Source organism: Homo sapiens, chromosome 13 (assembly GCF_000001405.40).
Source record: "Homo sapiens chromosome 13, GRCh38.p14 Primary Assembly".
In the NCBI taxonomy this organism is placed as follows: Eukaryota; Metazoa; Chordata; class Mammalia; order Primates; family Hominidae; genus Homo; species Homo sapiens.
In genome coordinates this window covers 95,656,377-95,681,951 of record NC_000013.11, presented here as the reverse complement: position 1 = coordinate 95,681,951, position 25,575 = coordinate 95,656,377, and the positions used below count along the sequence as shown (strand labels likewise).

At 39.1% G+C, this 25,575-nt stretch overlaps 1 protein-coding gene and 1 long non-coding RNA gene across 3 annotated transcripts in view, besides 7 other annotated features; one reads left to right on the top strand and one right to left on the bottom strand.

The window, feature by feature from the left end:
* Nucleotides 1-4,813, bottom strand: part of DNAJC3 (DnaJ heat shock protein family (Hsp40) member C3) — a 117,850-nt gene extending 113,037 nt beyond the window's left edge. For both annotated transcript variants that reach the window (XM_011521104.3, NM_006260.5), the window contains exon 1: nt 4,615-4,813. In XM_011521104.3, coding sequence (XP_011519406.1) covers nt 4,615-4,696 — 82 coding nt within the window. In that variant the 5' untranslated portion in view covers nt 4,697-4,813. The remainder of the gene's footprint in view (nt 1-4,614) is intronic.
* Nucleotides 4,029-4,875: an enhancer, noted in NCBI's record as "H3K27ac hESC enhancer chr13:96329331-96330177 (GRCh37/hg19 assembly coordinates)". NCBI's record gives its function as "activates a minimal SCP1, AML or CMV promoter by ChIP-STARR-seq in naive and primed H9 embryonic stem cells {active_cell/tissue: H9 hESC(naive and primed)}" and the evidence as "EXISTENCE:reporter gene assay evidence [ECO:0000049][PMID:30033119]".
* Nucleotides 4,029-5,723: a biological region, named in NCBI's record as "H3K27ac hESC enhancers GRCh37_chr13:96328483-96329330 and GRCh37_chr13:96329331-96330177".
* Nucleotides 4,433-4,522: a silencer, noted in NCBI's record as "silent region_5447". NCBI's record gives its function as "represses an Ori minimal core promoter by ATAC-STARR-seq in GM12878 lymphoblastoid cells {active_cell/tissue: GM12878}" and the evidence as "EXISTENCE:reporter gene assay evidence [ECO:0000049][PMID:35858748]".
* Nucleotides 4,633-4,682: an enhancer, noted in NCBI's record as "active region_7882". NCBI's record gives its function as "activates an Ori minimal core promoter by ATAC-STARR-seq in GM12878 lymphoblastoid cells {active_cell/tissue: GM12878}" and the evidence as "EXISTENCE:reporter gene assay evidence [ECO:0000049][PMID:35858748]".
* Nucleotides 4,753-4,992: a silencer, noted in NCBI's record as "silent region_5446". NCBI's record gives its function as "represses an Ori minimal core promoter by ATAC-STARR-seq in GM12878 lymphoblastoid cells {active_cell/tissue: GM12878}" and the evidence as "EXISTENCE:reporter gene assay evidence [ECO:0000049][PMID:35858748]".
* Nucleotides 4,876-5,723: an enhancer, noted in NCBI's record as "H3K27ac hESC enhancer chr13:96328483-96329330 (GRCh37/hg19 assembly coordinates)". NCBI's record gives its function as "activates a minimal SCP1, AML or CMV promoter by ChIP-STARR-seq in naive H9 embryonic stem cells {active_cell/tissue: H9 hESC(naive)}" and the evidence as "EXISTENCE:reporter gene assay evidence [ECO:0000049][PMID:30033119]".
* DNAJC3-DT (DNAJC3 divergent transcript) lies at nt 5,027-9,117 on the top strand. The gene is made up of 2 exons (NR_132117.1): nt 5,027-6,100; nt 7,284-9,117. It is a non-coding gene; the product is annotated as a DNAJC3 divergent transcript (long non-coding RNA).
* Nucleotides 5,513-5,612: an enhancer, noted in NCBI's record as "active region_7881". NCBI's record gives its function as "activates an Ori minimal core promoter by ATAC-STARR-seq in GM12878 lymphoblastoid cells {active_cell/tissue: GM12878}" and the evidence as "EXISTENCE:reporter gene assay evidence [ECO:0000049][PMID:35858748]".

The following is a 25,575-nucleotide window of genomic DNA, read 5'->3' as shown; positions in this document are numbered from 1 at the left end:
GTATTTCAATATGAGAAAAAGTAGCAGAATAGGTACAAATGTAGATAAGCTAGTGAATTTTGAGGTAGAAAGAAGAACTTGCCTTGTGATGGCTTTCATTTTCTCAGTAAAGACAAGGTCTAAAAGAATGAGGTAGGGGAGAGAGGAAAGGAGAGTTTAAATTAGAGGCTTCAGAAAGGAGGAAAATGTTTGAAATATTGATTTTCAAGAATAGACATAGTAAAGAATTGTGGGAGTGTTAGCAGTATTTAATGTGCATTTGCGACTGAGATTGTTTCTTTAAAATGAGACTAATCAGGGCCAGGTGCATTGGCTCGTGCCTGTAATCTCAACACTTTGGGAGGCCAAGGGATGAGGATTGCTTGAGCCCAGGAGTTCAAGACCAGCCTGGGCAACATAGAAGACCCTGTCCCTACAAAAAATTTTAAAAACTTAGTAGGGGATGCAGTGGTGCATACCTGTGGTCCCAGCTATTCAGGAGGCTGAGATGGGAGGACTGCTTGAGCCCAGGAGGTCAAGCCTACATTGAGCTAGGATCATGCCACTGCACTCCAGCCTGGGTGACAGGGCAAGACCTTGTCTCGAAAAAAAATTGAAAATAAAAATAAAGATAAATGAGACTAATCAGCAAAGTTGTCTCCATTTTCCTCCGTCCGTGTTTACCTATAAGGTATAAAAACAGTTGGCCAAGTTGAATTTAACCAGTGTTGGGTTTTGGCAGGTGAGTAAAACAGAAGATTACAGGGGCCAGAAAATAAATGGGCATTTGCAGTACACTAACTACAATAATGGACCACTCAGTCTAAAGCGGGAAAGGAGAAAAAGAGGACGTGAATGCTTCACAAATGCATGTCTTAAACCCTAAGTGGTCTGTAAACTCAAAAGCAAAAGCCATGAGTTCTATGCTACGTATATATACCTCACCAAAGAGCAATATAGTTAGTAAAAGCCTTTGCTGACTGATTAAATGAGTCTTCTCCATATTCCAGAACTCCAAATGATACAAACTCATCAGATTTAATTTTTTTAAGTAGCTTTCTAAAGATATGGAAAGAAAAATAAATCTATGGTTGAAATGTTTGCGTTCTGAAGAGCAGGTGAATGGGTTCCCATGATACTTCCATATAAACAAAGATTAACTGCAGGACACTAATCAAAAGAGACCACAGCAGTAGAAATTAAACTTAACAACAATTAATTAACTTCATATGGGAAAATAAAACCTAATTACTACAGTGCATCCCCTCCCAGAACAACTTCCCCTACCTCACAGAATGAAAACCACTGCATTTCCAGGCAGTTTCTCAGCAAATACTAACTATGTCAAGAGAACTGGAACTTTGATACTACTGCTAACTACAGCCTATCTTATTAAAGAATTTAAAATAATTCTAGAAAATATGTGACCACCTTTTATGATACTTAATTTATTTAAATTACTTAAAGTCACTCATTTTTGCTACTTTATTCTTTCCCTATTTAGATAATGTCAAGAAAATCCTAGAAAAGACAAAACATACCTTTAATAGGTTAGGTTCAAATAAAACTTATCATGGTTCAAATAAAACTTATCACAATATTTTATACGTATAGATTTTCAACTATATATTTTCAACTATTCTTTTCCCCATGGCCAAAATATATGGTTTAATCAGCTCAATGAAATAAAGAAAAATTGGGTCCAGATAGCATGTTAAGGAAGAAAAAGAGATAAAACTATGATAAGAGAAAAAAGGTTTCGTTCCCAGGCTGTGTTGCTACTCAAGTCACCAAGAGGACAAACCATTAGCAAAGAAATGAAATAACTTCCTTATCTGTAACATGAGAATACTAAAGCAGATACTACTAAAGTTTTCTTTCTATTCCAAAAATTCGATCTCATCTAGTGCTTTAGACTTCACTCTTTCAAACGCCTTTGAGAAGGGAGGGTGCCAAAAGACTCAAACTTTCAATTCATGATATATACTTTCTGTCTCTGGATGACAATTAACAGAAAAATCTAGAAGAAAACAAAGGCAAATATTTCAAAATCAGAAAAACACTAGGTTATCTCTTCCCCATCCTGTGCCACTCTTAGTTCCACATTCACTTCTCTCATAACCATTCTCCTTCATTTCTTTTTTTAAAAGTGAATTGTATTGTATATATTTGATGTTTACAACATAGTATTATGAGATATACACACATAAAATGGTTACAATAGTGAAGCAGATTAATAAGAGTGAAGCAGATTAATATATCTATCATCTCACATAATTACTTTTTGTGTGACAAGAGCAGCTAAAACCTACCTATTTAACAAAAATCCTTAATACAACACAATTTTATTAAGCCTCAGGCCTAGCAGTAGCACCATTTGCCTTTCAGAGAACTATGAGATTAGTGAATCCAGACACAATTTATTTGGGAAAACAGGGGCTAACGGTTTGCTAATTCAAGTCAGAGTTCTTACCTTTATATCCCTATCACCAAATCCAGTGTCAAATACATAGCAGACACCTAATTTAACTCCTCTATATAATTTATTACACCAGTGGTTCTCAAGTGTGGTCATCCAGGGTCTTTCTAGAAACGCAAAATTTCAGGTCCCATCAAGACCTAATGAATCAAACTCTGTAAGTGGGGTACAGCACTCTGTTTTAAAAAGCCCTCCATGTGCGATTCTGATGCACACTCAAGTTTGAGAACCACTGTATTAAACCTCCCAGGAAATAACCTTCTTGTTAATTACAAAAAAAAAAAAAAAAAAAAAGTGCTGATTTTTTTTCTCAGCTGCCATCACTTAAAAGTGCTTGGACTCACATGATGTTGTCAACTACTTAACTTCTGTCTCCAGCGTGCACACAAAATGAACTTTAGTAAAACCTTTGGAGCCTCAGTTCCCTGGTCTGTAAAGTAGGAATGAATACCACACGCTTTCGTGAATAAGATATGGCTTACAGAAAGGCTCCTTTCTTTCCTTTTTCTGTTACCTGTACTAAGTCCCTGCTATTTTACACAGACAATGGTCCTAAAGAAGACACTCTGGCACTCCTCTGAGAAATGTCACCAGTGCCTCCTACACAGAAAAGCTCTCAAATGTGGTTTTCTTATGGAAAATACCACAGGAGGGAAATGAAGAGTTAAGAGTCCTTACAGACTCATATACAGAACAGCAATTCTAAAAAGTAGTGGGAAAAGCAATCATTCAAAATTGTGCATCTCTGTAACTTAAAAAAAAAAATCACCATTAAACAGAACATAGGCAACTTTCTCTTAAGTGTCCAAAATAAATTATTAATGATAACTGGAGATAAATACTACAGATGAGGGATGGTGGGGTGCGGGGGCAGGAGGAATGAAGCTTTTGAAAATGCAAAAGAACTAGAATATATGACCCATATTAAAGTGGTACAGACCTTCAAATTCCAATCCCCTAGATTTTTCTGGGGGCAGCCTCACTGTCAAATTCTTTGTCCCAATGTTGCCACACTACGTGTTCTGATTTGGGGTTCAAAAAATATGGTTACCAGGGGAAGCAAAAGCAAAAGCCCATTGCTATGGGTGACACCTAAAAACTGGGGAGTACTACTTTAAAAAAAAAAGTTGAGAACTTTCAGAAGAATTCACTATAAACAATTCCCAATTTTTAGTTCCTCGCTCCCTTTGAATGGAATACTCAAAGGTTTAATTTGACCTCCTTGACAACTAGCCCTTTTTATGGGGATGAAAATAGATCAGTGCATGTGATGTGTCATTACACTCGAATATTTCGCACAGTAACCGCGCCAGAAGCATTCGTTAAATCGGCACTATCAACTTTAATTCTTACTCCTCCCCGCTGCCATCTAAGATAGGACAGCCCTCTATTTTCGCTATTCTGGAGTAGCCAACATTCCAGTCTGCAGGACTGAAGTGAAATTTAATCGTTCGTATCTTTTTAAGGGAACCTTTTTACAGCGAACTTGGAAAAGTAATGCCAGCCATACGTTGAATGACACCATGTTGGGAGTTGTAAAACCACAAACTCAGTGCCTGGCCGTCCGGGAGATGGAATTCCAACAGCGGCTCCTCATTGCACCAAACTAACAATTTCTCTACACGACAGTGCATCTTAATGGGGATGGTTACACACTTTTTAAATAGTCAACACTGTCCCCTCCAACTCCCAGCCGGACATGACACTCCTTCCCCACCCAAGAACTCCAGAGCGAAGGAAGTCTTTTGGCCACCTTAGTGCCTCCTCCCAGCCAGCACCAATGACTGACAGTGTCCCCAGGCGCCCAGCGAGGGTCCCAAGCGAGGCCAGGACCCAAAGGCTGCCCAAGTCTCCGCGTCCCAGGACTTCCTGAAGTCGTAGCCCGGTGCCCCCGCACCCCGCCTCCTCCGACTCCTGCGGCCCGGTTCCTTAGTCCAAACCCGCTGTCCCGGCCCCGCGGCCCGCCAGTCCCCTCGATTCTTCCCCAGACAAACCCGGAACCGGGCGCGGGCTCAGGCCCAAGCCAGGCCGCGGGCTCCCCCAGCGCTCGCCCCACCTCCCGAGCCGCTCCGGGACAGGCGCCCGGGCGCAGACGGGAAAGCGCGGGGGGCCTGGTCCGGGAGCCCACTTCCTGGCCGGGGCAGGGCAGGACTCACCTTCGTACTGCAGATCCACCAGGACTAGCAGGAAGGGGAATACCGAGCCCAGCCGGCTGGTCACGGAGCCGGGGGCCACCATGTCCGAGGGCTCGCGAGTGAAGAGGAGGAAAGGTGTGTGGCCCACCAGCACGCGCCGGCGCTCCGGCAGCAGCTGCGCCCGCCCGCCGTCGGCTCTCGCTCAGGCCTCAGTGGCTCTGGAGCCCAGCAGAGGAAGGCAGCGGTGGGCGGGGCCCGGGCGACGCTACGCCCCAGAGCGCCGCCGCCATCCAATCGCCTTCTTTCTGGCGGCTTTCCTCCCGGGCTCGCCGGGGTCGTGGTTCGCGCTGATAGGCTGCGGAGGCCGCCGCCCCGCCCCGTCCCTGATAGGATAACGTGGAAGCACGAGACGAGGCTGCGCCCGCCGGTCGCAGAGCTGTCAGCAAGCTCCAAACCGCGGCTGCCGCCCGGAGGGAAGCAGACGGGGAGTCGGTGGCGGCCGCCGAGTCCGCATGCGCAGGCTGCAAAGGCCCTTTTGGGCCGGTCCCGCCGCGCTAGGTTGGCGAGTGGGACTATTTGATCCTTTCCAGGTTCGCCAGCGTGGTGTTACGAGAGGAAAGCGCAGCCGCAGCGTACGAATGGGAAGGCCAAACACGGTCCCGGGGAGTCTGAGGGAAGCTGCAGGGCGCCTGGAATTGGGGTCTCGAGTGAGCCGGTAAAAACCGCCTCCCGCTGAGCGTCCCGGAACAAATACTGTCTGAACTGAGCCGTAAGCAAGAAACGGTCAGGAGAAGCTGGGGCGATCTGATGATTAGAACATTTCAGGGACTACCAGAGAGAAGTGCGTAATTGCTCTAAGGCAGGTAGGTAATTGGCCTGGAAACTTGGGAACGCCCCGCCCCCCACCCCGACTTTCAGCAAACCACCGTGCCCAGGAAAAAGAGCGATTGTGGAAGACCCTGTGAAGAAGAGACCAGGAAGGCACTGTGGCTTAAGAGAGCAAGGCGTTCCTGAATGCAGCCAACATCAACTGGTAAACAAAAAACTGTGAGAACGGATCCTGAATCTTGCGCTTACCAGGGGAAATTCAGGAGAGATATGAACCTGAGCAAGATGAGGTTGAAGTTACTCAATGCGGCATTAAGCCTGTTCACGGCCACTTCCTCCGGCGTCACCAACACACACACTGTACACCAGCAGTATTTTTACACGGGGTATGTGTGTTAAGTACTATCAGGTGGATAATTATTACTTCACCTGTATTTGCTGCCTTGATACCATTAGAGAAACTCATGAATTATAAATAGCATAGTGAATTTGTGATTCCCTGAAGATATACTAAGGTGGACTTTTAAAAAGGCTTCTATTCCAAAGGGAACTAATATGGAGGAAATGGTTTCGAGAAAGAAAAAAGAAAAAACGGAGTCCTTGATTAGTTGTGGGGAAGGCAACATAATGTAATGTGAAGAATAAAGGAGTCAGATCCAGGAAACCCCATAACTATTATGTAAGTTATCTTCATCTGTAAAGTGGTTAGGATCCTGATAGTCTCAAAGGTTTGTTTTGAGGTTTCATGAAGCAGATAAATATTCTTGTAAATTGTAGAATGTTATACCAGTGTTACTCATTATTCTAACAAGAGCAGAGTAGTGAAGAGAGGCTCCTTCAGAAATTCCTTGGGATTTTTTTTTTTTTGGCTTCTGTTTTTTTATATCACAAGGTAGTGTCTCTGAAAAATGGTAGATGATTTCAATGTCCACAAATATGCAGGTGTAGACATTCAATTGAGGTACTGTACCCAAGGCAGCCAGCAAAATGCTGAACATAGAAAATAACTTTGTAAACAAAATGCAATATTTCTAGACAGTGAGTTATCACCAGTGTGCTGCCTATGACCCTGGCCTTAAGGAAAAAGTAGCAGAGCTGAAGAAGTTCTAAGGATGGAAATTAAAAATTATTAAGGAGATAATAGACTTCGTGTTATAGGAAATAAAAATAGCAAGGGTCTTCAATGGTGAGTGATTTTGAGATTAATTACATAACTATGAATTCTGTAATATTAGAACTAAGCTTTACAAAGCATTCCTTAAAAAAAGATAATTTTACAACAAAGGTAACATTAGACAGAAAAAAATGTACAAAACTAAAATTAAGTGATTAATGCTTGGGAATGTTTCCTCCAATGTTCATCTAGTCATGGTTTTCACGAATCACTCTTGCCAATAAAACCGAAAATCAAAGTAATCTAGTGAGTGTAAGAAAAGTTACTGTAAATATGTTTGCATTCGTCAGACTCTATGGAGTCTTTTTGAAGTTAAACATTAAATCTCCACTGTAATTCATACTGTTAATTATAGTAGCAAAAGACTTAAAAAACAATGGTAGCATATTTATGATATATCCAAAATTAAGAGTATTATGCAATTTTTATTAGGTTGATCTATGTTTATTGACTAGGAAAAACAATGTTGGTAGAGAGGAGTGAACAGATCTAGAACATATTTTGTAGGTAAAGGGAATAAGATTTGTTTAGGAATTAACTATGAGGAGAAATAAATGTTCAGAAACAAGTAGAGCACTTATAAACACCTTTTTGTGCCAAATTAAGAACAAAAAAGTCAGCATTAAGTTAATGCCACCATATACATCCTTCCACATTTATGTTTACAAACTTGTGCTTTTATTTCTAGGAAACATTTCTAGGCTGGGCGCAGTGGCTCACACCTGTAATGCTAGCGCTTTGGGAAGCCAAGATGGGAGGATTATTTGAGGCCGGGAGTTTGCGACCAGCCTGAGCAACATAGCAGGATCCTGTCTCTGCAAAAAAATTTAAAACTAGCCAGGTGCGGTGGCTCGTGCCTGTTGCCCTAGCTACTCAGGGAGACTGAGGCAGAGGATTGCTTCAACCCAGGAGTTTGAGGTTGCAGTGAGCTAAGATCATGTCACTGCACTCCAGACTGAGCAACAGAGTGACACTTTATAAAAAAAAAAAAAAAAAAAACTAGGTTTTTGAACTTGCTTAATCAAAGAATTTGTTTAAACTTTTAAGATGCGTTGTCAGATTATCTTTCCCTAAAGGAATAATTTCTATTCCTATCAGCTGTTTATATTCCTGCCTAGTCACCATCACTAGATATAATTGATTTTCAGTTTTTGCCAATCTGAGGAACAAAAAATGACCCTTATATGTCAAATTTACAGTTTATTTTCAAGGATTTTGGGATTCTGATCAAATTTTGGTACCTTCATATAAAATTTGGCTTTTATATCACATCTTGTCTTCTCTGCTTTCCACCCTCTTTTATGTTGTTTTTTGGCTTCTGGCCGCATGACTATAATCTCCGCTTTTGTATTCACATCACCTTCTGTCATTTTTGACCTTGCCTCCGTCTTACAAGGATCCTTGTAATTAATTATATTGGGCCTGCTGAGATAATCCAGGATATTCTTCCTACTCAAGTTCCTCAATTTAATCACATCTGCAAAAACTGCCTTTTGCTATAGAACAATGACAGGAGATTAGAATGTAAACATATTTGGGGGACCGTTATTCAGCTTAACACAATACGTCCCCCTTCATCAGGTGGAGCTTATTTTCCCTCCTTCCTTGAGTGTGGGCTGGACTTAGTGACTAACTTCCAAAGAACAGAGTATGGAAAGGGAGGAGGAGAGTAACTTCATAGTACAGAAACCTGGAAACACTGTCTTGGCCAGGTGGTCAAAGTTAATATCATCAAGTCATGTTGATAGCATATACTCCCAATATACTGTGATGAGAAGGGCAATTCACCTCTGTGGTATTCTCAAAACCTATAACCCAATCTAGTCTAAACATGAAAAAAAAAAAATCAAACTAAAATTGAAGGACATTCTATAAAACACCTGATCAGTATTCCTCAAAACTATCAACGTCGTGGGGAACAAGGAAAGATTGAAATACTGTAACAGACCAGAGGAAACTAAGGAAACTTAATTGATGACTGAATGCAGTGTGCTGTGTTGAACTGGATCCTAGAGAAAATAGACATTAGTGGAAAAACTACTGAAATATGAATAGTCTCAAGTTTAATAGTAGTGTACCATTATTACTTTCTTAGTTTTGACAAATGTACCATGGTTATGCAAGATGCTAACAATACAGAAAAATAAGGGGTATTTGGGACCTCCCTGTATTATCCTTATGCCCTTACTTGAAAGTTGTTTCAGCAATAGAAGTTTATTTAAAATATTGTGAAGGGCCTGAGTATTTTTAAATCAACTGCAGTGACTCTCTTTTGTGTATTTGTGTACAGATGAGTTTTTCTGCATCGAATTTTATCTCCTTTCCTTGCAGAAGAAAGAGAATTAGCCCTTTACAGAGATAACAGTTGCCTAAGCCAGCTCTTTTCTCCTCTTTTTGATGTTCTTCTTTTTCTCTCAGTTTGAAAATTGTAGGTTATTTGAGTTTTTAAAATGTCTATTGCTACATACACATTCTAGTTATATTCTAGTCCAAACAATCTAGTAAAATATCTAAAAGAAAAATGCTGTTCACTGTATTTTTTATTTTTAAAATGTGAGTGAGTGCATTTAAATAATAGGTTGTGTTATTATAATTATGAGCTAAAAGTTTTGAAGTGTGATTTAAAGAGTCTTTAACATTACAATTCTGGACTACAAAGTGTAAAAATTGTATTTTAAAAGATTCATGTACTGTTTCCGATAAATAGATGAATCTTTGATCACTGGAATGTGTTAATACTAATTTAAAGGCAGCTATATATCTTCTGATTTTATAAGAAATTAACTAAGTACAATATTATATTTTATATACAATGGGTAAACTCTTCAAAATTTAAGCTTTCTAATTTCTAAATTAAGTGACATAATGACATGTCTTTAAATAGGTTTGATCTTATAAAATTTTTGTAATAACACAAATATAAGAACTTATTATTTTCCAGATTCTCACATCTAAATCCAAACATATAAACACAATTGCATTAAATATAAATGTTATAAACACAATAATTAAACGACATAATCAAAATGGATTTTGAAAATAACATGAGGAAGACAGAGCAAGATAGCCAAATAGAAGCCTCCACCGATCATCATCCCCACAGGAACACCAACTTTGACAACTATTTACACAAAAAAAGCACCTTCATAAGAACCAAAAATCAGGCGAACAATCACAGTACCTGGTTTTAACTGCATATTGCTGACAGAGGCGTTGAAGAGAGTAGGAAAGGCAGTCTTGAATTGCCAACATCACCCCTCCCCTATCCCCTGGCAGTGACTGTGTGGCACTGAGAGAGAATTTGTACATTTGTGGAAGGAGAAAGGACAGTAATTATGGGCCTTTGCCTTGAAACTTAGTGCTGCCAACACCCATGGAGGGAGCATTTAGATCAGCTTTAGCCAGAGGGGAATCGTCCGTTCCAGCAGTCAGAACTTCAGTTTTGGCAAACCTCACCACCGTGGGCTAAAGAGCTCTGAGGTTTAAAATAAACTTGAAAGGTAACCTAGGCCACAAGCACTGCAACTCCTAGGCAAGTCCTCTTGCTGTGCTGGGCTTAGAGCCAATGGACTTGGGGGCTATGTGACCTAGTGAGACACTAGGCAGGGTGGCCAATGCGGCGTGCTTGTATCACCTCTCCCCCAACTTCAGGCAATACAGCTAGCAGCTCCAAAAGGGACAACACCACCCCCACCTTCCACTTGAGGAAAGGAGAGGGAATAGTAAAGACTTGTTTTGCAACTTGGATACCAGCTCAGCCACAATAGGATAGAGTATTGAGCAGGGTCATGAGGCCCCCATTGCAGGCCCTAGCTCCCAGACAACATACCTAGACATACCCTGGGCCAGAGGGGAACCCACTATCTTAAAGGGAAGTACCCAGTCCTGGCAGGATTCATCACCTGCTGATTAAAGGGCCCTTGGGTCCTGAATAATCAGCAGCGGTAACCAGGTAATACATGCTGTGGGCCTTGGGTGAGACTCTGAGGTATACTGGCTGCAGGTGTGACCCAGCATATTCACAGCTATGGGTGGCTATGAGGAAAGACTCCATCTGTTTAAGAAAAGGAGAGGGAAGAATAAAGGAGACTTTGTCTTATAGCTGAGGTGCCAGCTCAACTACAGTGGGGAAGTGAACCAAGTGGGCTCTTCGGGTCCCTGATTCCAGAGTTGGCTCTTGGATGGCATTTCTGGCCCTGGGCCAGAGGGGAGCCCACTGCCCTGAAAGGTGAATTCCAGGCATGGCAGCATTGACCACAAGCTGACTACAAAGCCCTTAGGTCTTAAGTGAACATCAGCAGAATCATGGCAATACTCCCAGTGTCTTGTGATGTTGATGGACATGGGGAGAGACTCCTCTGCCTGGTGAAAGAGGAGGGAAGACTAGAAAGGACTTCGTCTTATGGTTTCAGTGCTAGCTTACCCTCAGTAGAATAGAGCACCGGGTAGATTTCTAAGGTTTCTGACTCCAGGTTCTGGAGTTACTGCTGCTGACTCCTAAACAGCATCTCTGAACCCACCCGGGGCTCTGAGGAACTCGCCATCCTGAAGAGAAAGACAGAAAGCTAGCTGGCTTCACTGCCTGCTAATTGTAGAGCCCTAGGAACTTCAGCTAACATAGGTAGTAGCAGGTAGTGGTTACAGTGGGCCTTTGGCATAACCCATAGCTGTGCTGGCTTCAGGTCTGACCATCCACAGTCCCAGTGATGGTGGCCACGGAGGTACTTGTGTCACCCCTCCCCCGGCTACAGGTAGTGTTGCTGGACGTCAGGGACCCCGAATGGAGGGACCAGCTGGAGCTGCAGCAGAGGAATATAAATTGTGAAGATTTCATGGACATTTATCAGTTCCCAAATAATACTTTTATAATTTCTTATGCCTGTCTTTAATCTCTTAATCCTGTTATCTTCGTAAACTGAGGATGTACATCACCTCAGGACCATTGTGACAATTGTGTACAAATTGATTGTAAAACGTGTGTTTGAACAATATGAAATCAGTGCACCTTGAAAAAGAACAGAATAACCACGATTTTTAGGGAACAAGGGAAGACAACAGTAAGGGCTGACTGCCTGCAGGGTTGGGCAAAAAGAGCCATATTTTTCTTCTTGCAGAGAGCCTATAAATGGACGTGCAAGTAGGAGAGATATCACTAAATTCTTTTCCTAGCAAAGAATATTAATATTAATACCCTGGGAAAGGAATGCATTCCTGGGGGAAGGTCTATAAACGGCCGCTCTGGGAATGTCTGTCCTATGCAGTTGAGGTAAGGACTGAGATACGCCCTGGTCTCCTGCAGTACCCTGAGGCTTACTAGGATGGGGAAAGACCCAGGCCTGGTAAGACCGGTTCTCTGCTCTCGAACCCTGTTTTCTGTTATTTAAGATGTTTATCAAGACAATACATGCACCACTGAACATAGACCCTTATCAGTAGTTCTCCTTTTTGCCCTTTGAAGCATGTGATCTACTCCCTGTTCTTACACCCCCTCGCCTTTTAAAACACTTAATAAAAAACTTGACGGTTTGAGGCCCAGCGGGGCATCACGGTCCTACCAATATGTGATGTCACCCCCAGCAGCCAAGCTGTAAAATTCCTCTCTTTGTAATCTTTCTCTATTTCTCAGCTGGCCGACACTTAGGGAAAATAGAAAGAACCTACATTGAAATATTGGGGGCGGTTCCCCCGATAAGGTAGCTCAACAGAGAGAGATAGAGAGAGAGAGACAGACTGATTCTGTTTGGGCAAAAACAAGGAAAAAGAACAAGAGTCTCTGCCCAGTAATCCAGATAATTCTTTCGGGTATTATCCAAGACCACCAAAGCAGTACCTCTATGTGTATGAAAGAACTACAATATTACTGCATTTAGGGGCCCACTAATGCAGATATGGCTGCAGTGACCAAAAACTTAGATCACAACATCCAAGCCCATTTGAATACCTGGAATGCCTTCCCAAGAAGGATGACTACAAACAAGCCCTACTGTGAAGACTACAATAAATACCTAACTCTTCAATGCCCAGACACCAACAAACATCCACAAGCACCAAGTCATCCAGGAAAGCATGACCTCAGCAAACAAACTAAACAAGGTACCAGGGGCGAATCCCAGAGAGACAGAGATATGTTACCTTTCAGACAGAGAATTCAAAATAGCTGTTTGGAGGAAACTCAAAGAAATACAAGATAATGGAGAGAAGGAACTTAGAATCCTATCACATAAATTTAACAACGAAATTGAAATAAGTGAAAAGCAGAAATTCTGGAGTTGAAAAATGCAATCAACATACTGAAGGCATCAGAGTCTCTTAATAGCAGAATTGATCAAGCAGAAGAAAATAATAGCTTGAAGACAGGCTGTTTGAAAATATACACTCAGAAGAGACAAAAGAAAAAAAGAATAAAAAAGAATGAAGCACACCTACAGGATCTAGATAATAGTTTCAAGGGGGAAAATCTAAGAGTTATTGGCCCTAAAGAGATGGTGGTGGGGGGCGGGTAGAAAGTTTGTTCAAAGGGATAAAAACAGAGAACTTCCCAAAACCTCCCAAACCTAGACAAAAATATCAATACTCAAGTATAAAAAGATTATAGATCACCAAGCAGATTTAACCCAAAGACTACCTCAAGGCATTTAACAGTCAAACTCCCAATGGTCAAGGATAAACAAAGGATCCTAAAAACAGCAAGGGAAAAGAAACAAATAACATACAATGGAGCTTTAATATGTCTGGCAGCAGATTTCTCAGTGGAAACCTTACAGGCAAGGAGAGAGTGGCATGACACATTTAAAGTGCTAAAGGAAAAAAAATGACCTTAGAATAATATATCCAGTGAAACTATCCTTGAACCATGAGGAGAAATAAAGACTTTCCTGGGAAAATAAAATCCATGGGATTTCATGAACACCATACCAGTCCTACAAGAAATGCTAAAGGGGGTACTTTAATCAGAAAGAAAATGATGTTGATGAGCAAAAGAAATCATCTGAAGGTACAAAACTCACTGGTAATAGTAAGTACACAGAAAAACACAGACTATTATAATACTGTAACTGGCATGTGTAAACTACTCAAGTAGAAAGACTAAATGATGAACCAATAAAAATAATGACTACAACAACTTTTCAAGACATAGTACAGTAAGATATAAATAGAAACAACAAAAAGTTAAAAAGCTGGGGGATGAAGTTAAGGTGTAGAGTTTTTATTAGTTTTTGCCTAAATGTTTGTTTATGTAAACAGTGTTATTATCAGCTTAAAGTAATGGGTTATAAGATAGTAGTTACAAGCCTCATAGTAACCTCAAATCAAAAAGCATATAACAGATATACAAAAAATAAGCAAGAAATTAAACCTGCCACCAGAGGAAATTATCTTCACTGAAAGAAAGAAAGGAAGGAAAGAAAGGAGGAATAAAAGGCCACAAAACAACCAGGAAACAAATAAAATGGCAGGAGTAAGTTATTGCATATCAATAATAACACTGAATGTGAATGGACTAAACTCTTCAATCAAAAGGTATTGAGTGGCTGAATGGATTAAAAAAAATAAAAACAAGACACAATGATCTGTTGCCTACAAGAAAAACACTTCACCTATAAAGCCACATATAGACTGAAAATAAAGGGATGGAAAAAGATATTTCATGCAAATGAAAACCAAAAAAGAGCAGGAATTGCATTACTTATATCAGATAAAATAGATCTGAAGACAAAAGCCATAAGAGACAAAGAAGGTCACTATATAATGATAAAGGAGTCAATTCAGCAAGAAGATATAACACTTGTAAATATGCATGCACCTAACACTGGAGGACCCAGATGTATAAAGCAAATATTATTGGAGCTAAGGAGAGAGACAGACCCCAATACAATAATAGCTGGAGACTTCAACACCTCACTTTCAGCACTGGACAGATCTTCCACACAGAAAATCAACAAAGATATATCAGACTTAATCTGCATCATAGACCAAATAAATGGTCCTAATAGATACTTACAGAACATTTCATCCAGTGGCTGCAGAATACACATTCTATTCCTCAGCACATGGATCATTCTCAAGGATAGACCATAAGTTAGGTATAAAACAAGTCTTAAAACATTCAAAAAATTGAAATCATATCAAGCATTTTCTCTGACCACAATGGAATAAAATTAGAAATCAATAATGAGGAATTTTGGAAGCTATACAAACACATGGAAGTTAAACAATATGCTCCTGAATGACCAGTGGGTCAATGAAGAGATTAAGAAGAACACTGAAAATTTTCTTGAAACAGACAATAATGAAAACACAACATATTAAAACCTATGGGGTACAGTGATACTAAGAAGGAAGTGTATAGCTATAAGTACCTATATCAGAAAAGAAGAAAAGCTTCAAATAAACCAACGTAACAATGCATCTTCAAGAACTGGAGCAGTAAGAGCAAACTGAACCCAAAGTTAGTAGAAGAAATAATAAATATTAGAGCAGAAATAAATTGAAATGAAGAAAGCAACACAAAATATCAACAAAATGAAAAGTTAGTTTCTTTGAAAAGATAAAATTGACAAACCTTTAGCCAGACTAGGAAAAAAGGAGCAAAGACCCAAATAAATAAAACCAGAGATGAAACAGGAGATGTTATAAGCATATACTGGGGAAATTCAAAGGATCATTAGAGGGTACCATGAACAACTATGTGCCAATAAATTAGAAAACCTAAAAGAAATGAAATTTCTACACACATACAACCTACCAAGATTGAACCATGAAGAAAACTAAAACCTGAACAGACCAATAATAAGTTACAAGATCAAAGCCACAATAAAAAGCCTCCCAGCCAAGAAAAGCCTGGGGCCTGATGACTTGACTGCTGAATTCTATCAAACATGAAAAGAAGAACTAATACCAATCCTAGTCAAACTGTTTCAAAAAATAGAAGAGGAGGGAATATTTTCAAACTCATTCTGCAAGGCTAGTATTACCCTGATACCAAAGCCAGACAAAAACACATTAAAAAAAGAAAACCACAGGCCAATATCTCTGATTAGTTTCAATGCAAAAATCCTCCACAAAATACTGGCAAACTGAATTCAACAATACATTATAAAGATCATTCATCATGACCAAGTGGGATTTATCCCAGGGATGCAAGGATGGTTCAACATATGCAAATCAATGAGTGTGATACAGCATATCAACAGAATAAAGGACAAAAACCATATGATCATTTCAATGGATGCTGAAAAAGCATTTTATAAAGTTCGACATCCCTTCATGATAAAAACCCTCAAAATACTAAGTATAGAAGGAACATAGCTCAAAATAATAAAAGCCATATGACAGACCCAAACTAGTATCATACTGAATGTGGAAATACTGAAAGCCTTTCCTCTAAGAACTGGAACACAAGGATGCCCACCATTATTCAACATACTACTGAAAGTTCTAGCTACAGTAATCAGACAAGAGAAAGAAAGAAAGGGCATCCAAACTGGAAAAGAAGTGAAATTATCCTTGTTTTCAGATGATATCCTATATTTTAAAAAACCTAAGGACTCCACCAAAAAACCATTAGAATTGATAAATTCAGTAAAGTAGCAGAATATAAAATCAACATACAAAAATAAGTAGCATTTCTAAATGCCAATAGCAAACAATCTGAAAAAGAAATTTTAAAAAATCTCATTTACAATAGCCACAAACAAAATTAAATACCTAGGAATTAGAAGTCAAAGATCTCTACAATAAAAACTATGAAACACTGATGAAATAAATTGAAGAGGAGACACAAAAAATGAAAAGATATTTCATGTTCATGGACTGGAAAAATCAATATTGTAAAAATGTCCATACTACCCAAAGCAATTTGCAGATTCAGTGCAATCTGTATCAAAATACCAATGACATCCTTCACAGAAATAGAAAAAAAAAATCTAAGATTTATATGGAATCACAAAGGAACAGAATAGCCAAAGCTATCCTAAGCAAAAACAATGACACTGGAGGAATCACATTACCTGACTTCAAATTATACTACAGAGCTATAGGAACCAAAAGAGCAGGGCATTGGCATAAAAACACGACGCCTAGACCAATGGAACAGAATAGAGAGGCCAGAAACAAATCCACGCATGTATAGTGAACTCGTTTTTGACAAAAGTGCCAAGAACTTACACTGGGGAAAAGACAATCTCTTCAATAAATGATGCTGAGAAAACCAGATATCCTTTGCAGAAGAATGAAACTTGACTATTATCTCTTGCCTTATAAAAAAACCAAATAAAAATGGATTAAATACTTAAATGTAAGACCTTAAACTATTAAACTACTACAAGAAAACACAGGGGAAACTCTTCAGGACACTGATCTGGGCAAAAATTTATTAAGTAATACCCTACAAGCACAGGCAACCAAAACAACAATGGACAAATTGGATCATATCAAGTTAAAAAAAACTTATGCACAGCAGAGGAAACAATCAACAAAGTGAAGATACAACCACAGAATGGGAGAAAATATTTACAAACTATTCATCTGACAAGGAATTAAAAACCAGAATATATAAGGAGCTACTCAATAGGGAAAAATCTAATAATCCAATTTAAAAATGGGCAGAAGATTTGAATAGACATTTCTCAAAAGAAGACATACAAATGGCAAACAGGCATATGAAAATGTGCTCAACAGCACTGAATATCAGAGAAATGCAAATCAAAACTACAATGATATATCATCTCATCCCAGTTAAAATGGCTTTTACCCAAAAGTCAGGCAATAATAAATGCCGGCAAGGATGTAAAGAAAAGGGGACCCTCCTACACTGTTGGTGGGAATGTAAATTAGTACAACCACTACCGAGAACTGTGCATACAATGGATCTAGGTTGTACACTACTTATGAAAATCTAATTAATGCCTGATGATCTGAGGTGGAACGGTTTCATCCCCAAACCATGCCCTCCCCTTGGAAAAATTGTCTTCCACGAAACTGATTCCTGGTGCCAAAAAGGTTGGAGACCTAAATCACAAATGCAAAGTCTTTGAAATAGAAACAAACTTAAGTGTGGTTTAGGAATAGAGTTTTACAATGTAATCTGGGGACAGTTGTGTAACATGATGTCAGGAGGTAGGCAGCAACCAGATCGTGTAGTGCCTTTAAAGCTGTTAAAAGGGGGTTTTAATCTTATTCTATTGAAAATGGGAAGCCACCAGAGAGTTTTAAGCAAAGGGCTAACAGATTTAGGGTTGTTTTTTTTTTCCTTTTTTTCCTAACAAAGAAAACTGCAGGCCCAGTTTATTGCAATGGAAAATTCTAACATTTTTATTTAGGAAGAATTAATACAAATCCAACATATACTTTTAAGGAAGAATGGATACAAATCCTACATAAACTTTTCCATAAGCAGAAGATAAATTGTTTGCCAACTTATTTTATGAGTTCAGTATTACCTCAATACTAAAACCAGTCAAGGACATTACAAGAAAACTACAGATCACTATACCTCATGAACCTATTTTCAAAAATCCTTAACAAATATTATCAAATCAAACCCAGCAATACATTAAAATGATAACACCTCAGGATCAAGTGGGATTTATCACAGGAATATAAGGCCAGGTTTTTTTAATTTTAAGTTTTTGTGGGTATATCAGATTTAGTTTTAAAGGTATCATTCTGGCTGCTGTATGAAAAATGGATTGTAGAAGGATAAGCAGTGTGCCCAGTTAGGAGTTAGGGGGCTATTGCAGTGTGCCCAGTTAGGAGTTAGGGTAAAAGATGATGATGTCTCAAATTATGTGGTGGTAACAGCAGAGATGGAAGTGGAGAGAAGCAAACAGATTTGGTATGTATTATGATGGTAATAAATGGGATAGATGGGGGTGGGAACAAGTGAGGAATCAGAAATAATTCCTAGATTTGGTCCAAGTAACTAACTGGTGTCATTTCCTGACATGAGGAGGTGTAAAGAAGGACAGAGGAGCTCTTTTGGAGGATGAAAATTAAGTTCCTTTTTAGTCATGTTATACTTGAAATGCCTCTTGGATATCAAAGTAGATATGTCAAAAAGACAACTGGATTTTTTTGTCTTTCTTTCTTTCTCTTTCTTCTTTTTCATCTTTTTTTTTTTTTTTTAATGGAGATGAGTCTCGCTCTGTCACCCAGGCTGGAGTGCAGGGGCGCAATCTCAGCTCACTGCAACCTCTGCCAGGGTTCCAGCAATTCTCTTACCTCAGCCTCCCCAATAGCTGGGATTACAGGTGCACACCACCACGCCTGGCTAATTTTTTGTATTTTAGTAGAGGCGGGGTTTCACTATGTTGCCCAGGCTGGTCTCAAACTCCTGAGTTCAGGCAATCCACCCACCTCGGCCTCCCAAAGTGCTAGGATTACAGGTGTGAGACACCGCACCCGGCTGACAACTGGATTTTTGAGTGTGGAGTTCAGAGAACAGAATGGGCTGGAACTATGAAGTTGGGAGTCATGTGATTGGATGAGATTGCTGGAAGAGAATGTGTGAAGAATGCCCAGGACAGAGCCCTGAGATATCACACATTTGAAAGTATACTGAGGGAGGAGGAGACTGCAGAGTTGGCCAAAATGTAGCAGGGAAACCAGGAGAGTGCAGCACCATAGAATATAAGAAGAAAGCAGTTCAAGAAGGAGGAGTGAATGAGTGTGTTAGTCCGTTCTTGCATAGCTATAAAGAAATACCTTAGACTGGCTAATTTATGTACAAAACAAGTTTAATTGACTCATGGTGTATTAGTCCATTTTCACACTGCTGATAAAGACATACTCAAGACTGGGCAATTTACAAAAGAAGACTTACAGTTTCACGTGGCTGGGGAGGCCTCACAATCATGACAGAAGGTGAAAGGCAAGGAGGAGCAAGTCACATCTTATGTGGATGGCGGCAGGCAAGAAGAGAGGTTGTGCTGAGAAACTCCCATTTTTAAAACCATCAGATCTCCTGAGACCCTTTCACTATCACAGGGACGGCACCGAAAAGACCCGCCTCCATGATTCAGTCATCTCCCACTGGGTCCCTCCCACAACATGTGGGAATTATGGGAGCTATAAGATGAGATTTGGTTGGGACACAGAGCCAAACCATATCACATGGCTTCACAGGCTGTACAGGAAGCATGATGCTGGCATCTTCTCGGCTTTTGGGGAGATCTCAGGAAACTTGCAATCATGGTGGAAGGCAAAGGGGGAGCCAGCACTTCACATGGTCAGAGCAGGAGGAATAGGGAGGGGGGGAAGTGCTACACACTTTTAAACAACCAGATCTTGTGAGAACTCTATCATGAGTACAGCGCTAGGAGGATGGTGCTAAACTACTTCCTATGGGAGAAACCCACTCCCATGATCCAATCACCTCCCACCAGAGCCTGCTTCCAACACTGGGGATTACAATTCGACGTGAGATTTGGGTGGGGACACAGATCCAAACCATATCACTGAGTAAGACTGAGTAAGATGAGAATTAAGCATTGACCTCTGGGTCGGTGACCTCGATAGAGCAGTTTTAGGGGAGGACTGAGAAGAAAAGTCAAATAAGAGTTGATAGAAGACTAAATGAGAGGTGATAAATTGCACACAGCAAATACAACTCAAGAAGTATTTTTAACAACTGTACATTCAAAATTGGTTAATATAGTAAATTTTTTCTATTTTTACCATAAAATTTTAAAAATTGTAGTAGAAAATAGCAAAATAGTGATAACTGTGTGTTGGCAAATTTTCATAATAAAGTAATAAAGTTGTGTTGTTGTTGTTGTTTGTTATTTAAAAGAGTATTGCCTGAAAGGCAGCAAGCAGTGGGGCTCTACTCAGGGAAGGGTGAAGGTCAAGAAAAGGTTTTTTTTTTAAATTTTTTAATGGTAAGAGATTAGATAGTATATTTGACAATGGCAATGATCAATAGGGAACCTTAGTGTTGCAGTATGAAGACAATAACTTTGAGAAAAGTCTTTGAGAAGTGGAAATGCAATATAATCCAGAGAATATTGGAGCTCACTTTTAAGGATTATCCATCTAGTCCCAGCCAGAGCAATGACTCCAGACCTCTTGTTCAAGCTATTTCTATAGCTACAGCACAAAAGTAAAAAAAAAAAAAAAAAAAAAAAAAGAACATAGACAATGCAAAATGCATATCTATAACCACCAGGGGTCACTGAAGGCCAATTCTGCTTTTGGATTAGGAGAAACCTAAACAGATAGTTTTAAAAATAGGAATGTCATAGTTAATTTCATGAAATTACTGAATCATGTAATTCAAATGCTATAGATTTTGTTTCCTTGTTCTTAAAATAATAATACCATAATGAAATGCATAGTTTTGAGAACATAGAAAATATACAAAAAATAAATTTTAATAGAAAAGACCACTTTGTTGTAAATTGCTAAACAGCTAGAAGCTAATCCAGAAATCAGAAAACAAAATTTATTTCACTACCATACCACTTAACCTAACTTTAGCACGTAAATTTTCTCTTAAATTGGTGACTCCATTTCTTCATGTTTTAAGTGTAACAAACCATACTGAAAACAGATACTAAAACTAGAGGAAAATATCATTAAAGTTTTATATGCTGTTATGGAAAAAACTAAATAAAGGATACTGATAAATCAGATTTCTCCAGGGATTATGCTGCTTTTCCTAGTGGAGTAAATAATGCTTTATTTTATCAGCTTATCTTCATTCAGTTAATTATAAAAGTATAGCCTAAAATATTTTTGACAGCTATTTAGGCTCTGGAAGGATCAACTGGCAAGAGGGCACAAAAGATTCGCTTGTTGGACCTCTATTACAAATTCATAGCAATATGTCAACTAAAATGAGAAAACAAACAAAAGGACCTAGCTAGAGTCTAAGCCAAGATAAATATTTCTATAGACTAGAAACAGAAACAAACAAACAACAACAACAACAACAACAAAACACGTTAGTCTCGTGCAAGCAGAAGCCCCGGGAAAGCTGGCCTATGACTTAGATCTAGAAAGGCACCAAAAGTAATTATGTTCTCCTTTCTGCTTGACACCATCACCAGCACAGCCGTATTATGGCTGCTTGTTTACATGGAATTGTAGAAACCTAGGAAGGGGGAATCAACCTGCTCTTGACTGGTTCTGTAGTATCAGCCTGGAAGCACCATTATAAGATAGGAAAGAGTGAGTACAGAGAGAAAGAAAAGTGGGAAAACAAAAATGAAAATAAACAAAAACATACCTTTCAACTCAAAATGATACTGCAAAATAACATTTCAAAACATATCAAGAATGCTAATGCTAAGAAAGACAGGCAGCAAACCAGTTGAACCTGAACTCACTAAGATGAAATTAATTATATAGACTAAGGATGCTGACAGACATAGATAAAGAAATAACATCTGTAAATACAAGAAAGAAGTATGGAACAAAGCCTGTATAAACACACTAAGAACAGGTAGATGTAAAAAATAATTAACATCCTAGGGCTGCCATAGTAAATTACCACAAACAGAGTTTAGATAAATTTATTGTCTCATAGTTCTGGAAACTAGAAGTCCAAAATCAAGATACTGATAGGCTCTGGAAAAAGAAAACCCTTCATTGTCTCTTCCTAGTTTCAGGTGGTTCCTGACAATCCTTGGCATTCTTTAGCTTGTAGCTGCATCACTCTAATCTCTTTTTCCATCTTTGCATGATGTTCTTCCTAATGTGTCTGTCTGTGTGTTCTCTCTTTTTCTGATAAGAATACCAGTCACTAGATTTAGGGCCTACCTAATGCAGTATGATCTCCTCACAGTCCTTAACTGAGTACATCTACAAAGGCCCTATTTCCAGATAAAGCCACATACTGATGTTCTGGGTGGACATGAATGAGAGAAGGGGAAAATACTATTCTACCCACTGCAATAATTAGTAAATAATCTTGGAAATTTAAAAAGTTAGTCCCTAAAATTCAGAAAAAATATTTAAAAGAACCTAATTGTTGGGATAAATGCTAAAACACAAAGTGAGAGAATAATTGGAAGACATTTGTTTTTAACATACCACTATTAAAAACTCTTTAGACCAAGTTCATACAAAAATGTTAGTAAGAATTAGAATATCCTTAGAGAGTCCTAGAAAATTTGAACCAAAATTTAATAAGTTTCTCTAATACTTTATCTAACAGTTATATGTGTAGATAAGGAAAGAGAGATGATAATCATCTGCCTAGGAAATAGGAAACATTTTTTTTTCCAGTACTTATGGAACACTTACAAAATCTACCAAATACTAGTTCACAGAGAATTTTTACAAAATTCTAAGAATGGTTATTATATGTTCTATCTTCTTTGACCATAATGCATAAATTGGAAGTCAACAATAATCAAATTCTTCCAAGACAAAGTATGGAAAGTAAAAATGTATTTCTGGCCAAGTGTGGCAGCTCAAGCCTGTAATCCCAGCACTTTGGGAGGCCGAGGTGGGTGGATCACCTGAGGTCAGGAGTTTGAGACAAGCCTGGCCAAGATGACGAAATCCTGTCTCTACTAAAAATACAAAAATTAGCTGGGCATAGTGGCACATGCCTGTAATTCCAGCTACTCAGGAGACTGAGGCAGGAGAATCACTTGAACCTGGGAGGCAGAGGTTGTAGTGAGCCGATGTCATGTCACTGCACTCCAGCCTGGGTGACAGAGTGAGACTGTCTCAAATAAATAATGTATTTCTAAATTACTCATAACAAAGACATAATTCTCCCAAAAATCCCAAATTATGCAAAACTAGATGATAATGAAGATGCTGCATTATCATAATTTGTAGAATGCATCCAAAGCAGTACATAGAGGAAAACTCAGAGCCTTAAATGCTTTCATTTAAAAACCAAAATAAGGAAGAAGGAGGAAAACAAACAAATTATGAATTCATCTCAAGATGCTAGAAACACTACAGAACAAGAGTGAAAAAGCAGAAGGGAATAAATAATAAAAAACGAGCAGAAATTACTGATTGGGGGTAGGAAGATATGAAGCATCTAAACCATGAAAGCTAGATATGAAGCAACTAAACCAAAAAGCTAGTTACTGACAGAAATTATAAAATAGACAAAAATGGCCAGGTGCAGTGATTCACGCCTGTAATCCCAGCACTTTGGGAGGCTGAAGCGGGCAGATACCTGAGGCCAAGAGTTCGAGACCAGCCTGGCCAACATGGTGAGACCGTGTCTTTACTAAAAATAGAAAAATTTAGCAGGGCTTGGTGGCACCCGCCTGTAGTCCCAGCTACTTGGGAGGCTGAGGCAGGAGAATCCCTTGAACCCTGGAGGTGGAGGTTGCAGTGAGCCAAGATATTGCCACTGTACTCCAGCCTGGATGACAGAACGAGACTATTGCCACTGCACTCCAGCCTGGACGACAGAACGAGACTCTGTCTCAAAAAATAAAATAAAATAGACAAAAATGTAGCAAGCTTAAAAAAGAGAAAAGGCATATATTAGAATTTAAAAGGGGTATACAGCTACAAATATGGTAGAGATGTTTTAATTTATAAGACATTAAATGTCTTTATGCCGATAAATTTTAAAATGGAGAGGAAAAGAAAAATAGAGTGCCTGGATAAACCAATAGCTATTTTAAAAAATGAGTAATTATACATATTATTTAAAAAACCACTTGGCCCAGACGGATTTGTAAGCCCTATCTTATATAATGTATTTCAGAGAATTTTAAAAAAGAGGAAAATCTCACCAACTCATGTTATAAAGTTTGATGCTACAACTGAAAAAAAAGAAAAATTTTCACCAAATTATGCGAATAAAGTAATCTTAAATAGAATATTTCCAAATCAAACTCAGCAGCGAAAAAGAGGATGAAGATAACCAAGAAGACGTTATCCAGGAATACAAGGATAGATTGATATCAAAACACCTTTTAATGAAACATATCAAATTAACAAGTAGATGAAAAAATAATCATTCCAACAGATTCGATACAGCCTTAGATCAAATACAGCACTCATTCATGTTTAAAAGAAAGAAATCTCAGCAAAAGGTGGAAGGAAACTACTTTAACTTGGTAAATGGTATTTATCCAAATTTCTATTTTGAGGATGGCTGTGTCAAGTTGTCACTGCCCACAGGTTCATAAACTGTCATTTAATAGAAACTAGCATGAGGCTGAGAAAGTTTCCCTGACAAGGCTTTATTGGGGCTTATGCTCCAGCACAAGAGATACAGTACAGGAAGAAGAAATTCTCCGAGGGGCTCCCCGAGGGCAGGTCTTTTTGGTGCTTTAAGAAGGGTGACATGAATAAGCATGAGGTATGTGAACGTCATTGCATGTGCAGGGTTAAGCATGCAGGGTGTGCAGGCACAGTGAGAAATCATGTTAGTACATACATTGCATGATCAAAAAAATGGTGGATAAGCCCCTCCTTGGGCAGAGATTTTAGTATTATAATGAGGATCAGTCATTTTTCTGGTCTTGTGTGCATGCCATGGATAGGGTTAAGTGTCTTGAGTAAGATTTATGGTGGAATGCTGCTTATCTTAGTTTCTTCAAGATCTCCCAGTCAGAGGTTATAATGCCAGTGGAGGTGGTGGTGCAAAGTCTGGTAGTCGGCAGATATGGAAAAGAAAAATGTGTTAGTGGGGATGTGGGCTGAGCCTCATCCTATTCTGTCTCAAAGTCAGCATTTCTCACTTTCTTTCTTGGAAATTACCCAAAGCAACAATATAATGAAAAGGGGGAAAGCAAATTACAAAATATAGGAAAGTGTTGAAACTCAAATCCCAAAGTAAATAGGAGGGATGACAAACAGTAGAGGAATCAGAAGAGAATGCCTGCTACTGCACACCTCAAAAAAATGTGGCAAGATACTCCTCCAAGATTAGAGACATATCCTGTGGTGCAAAACCCAAATACCGTGTTTGCAACAAGAACGATGATATGTGCTGGTTGGTGACAGAAGCTACTCAGACACTTTGGTTCCAAGAGGCAAAAGATATGGGC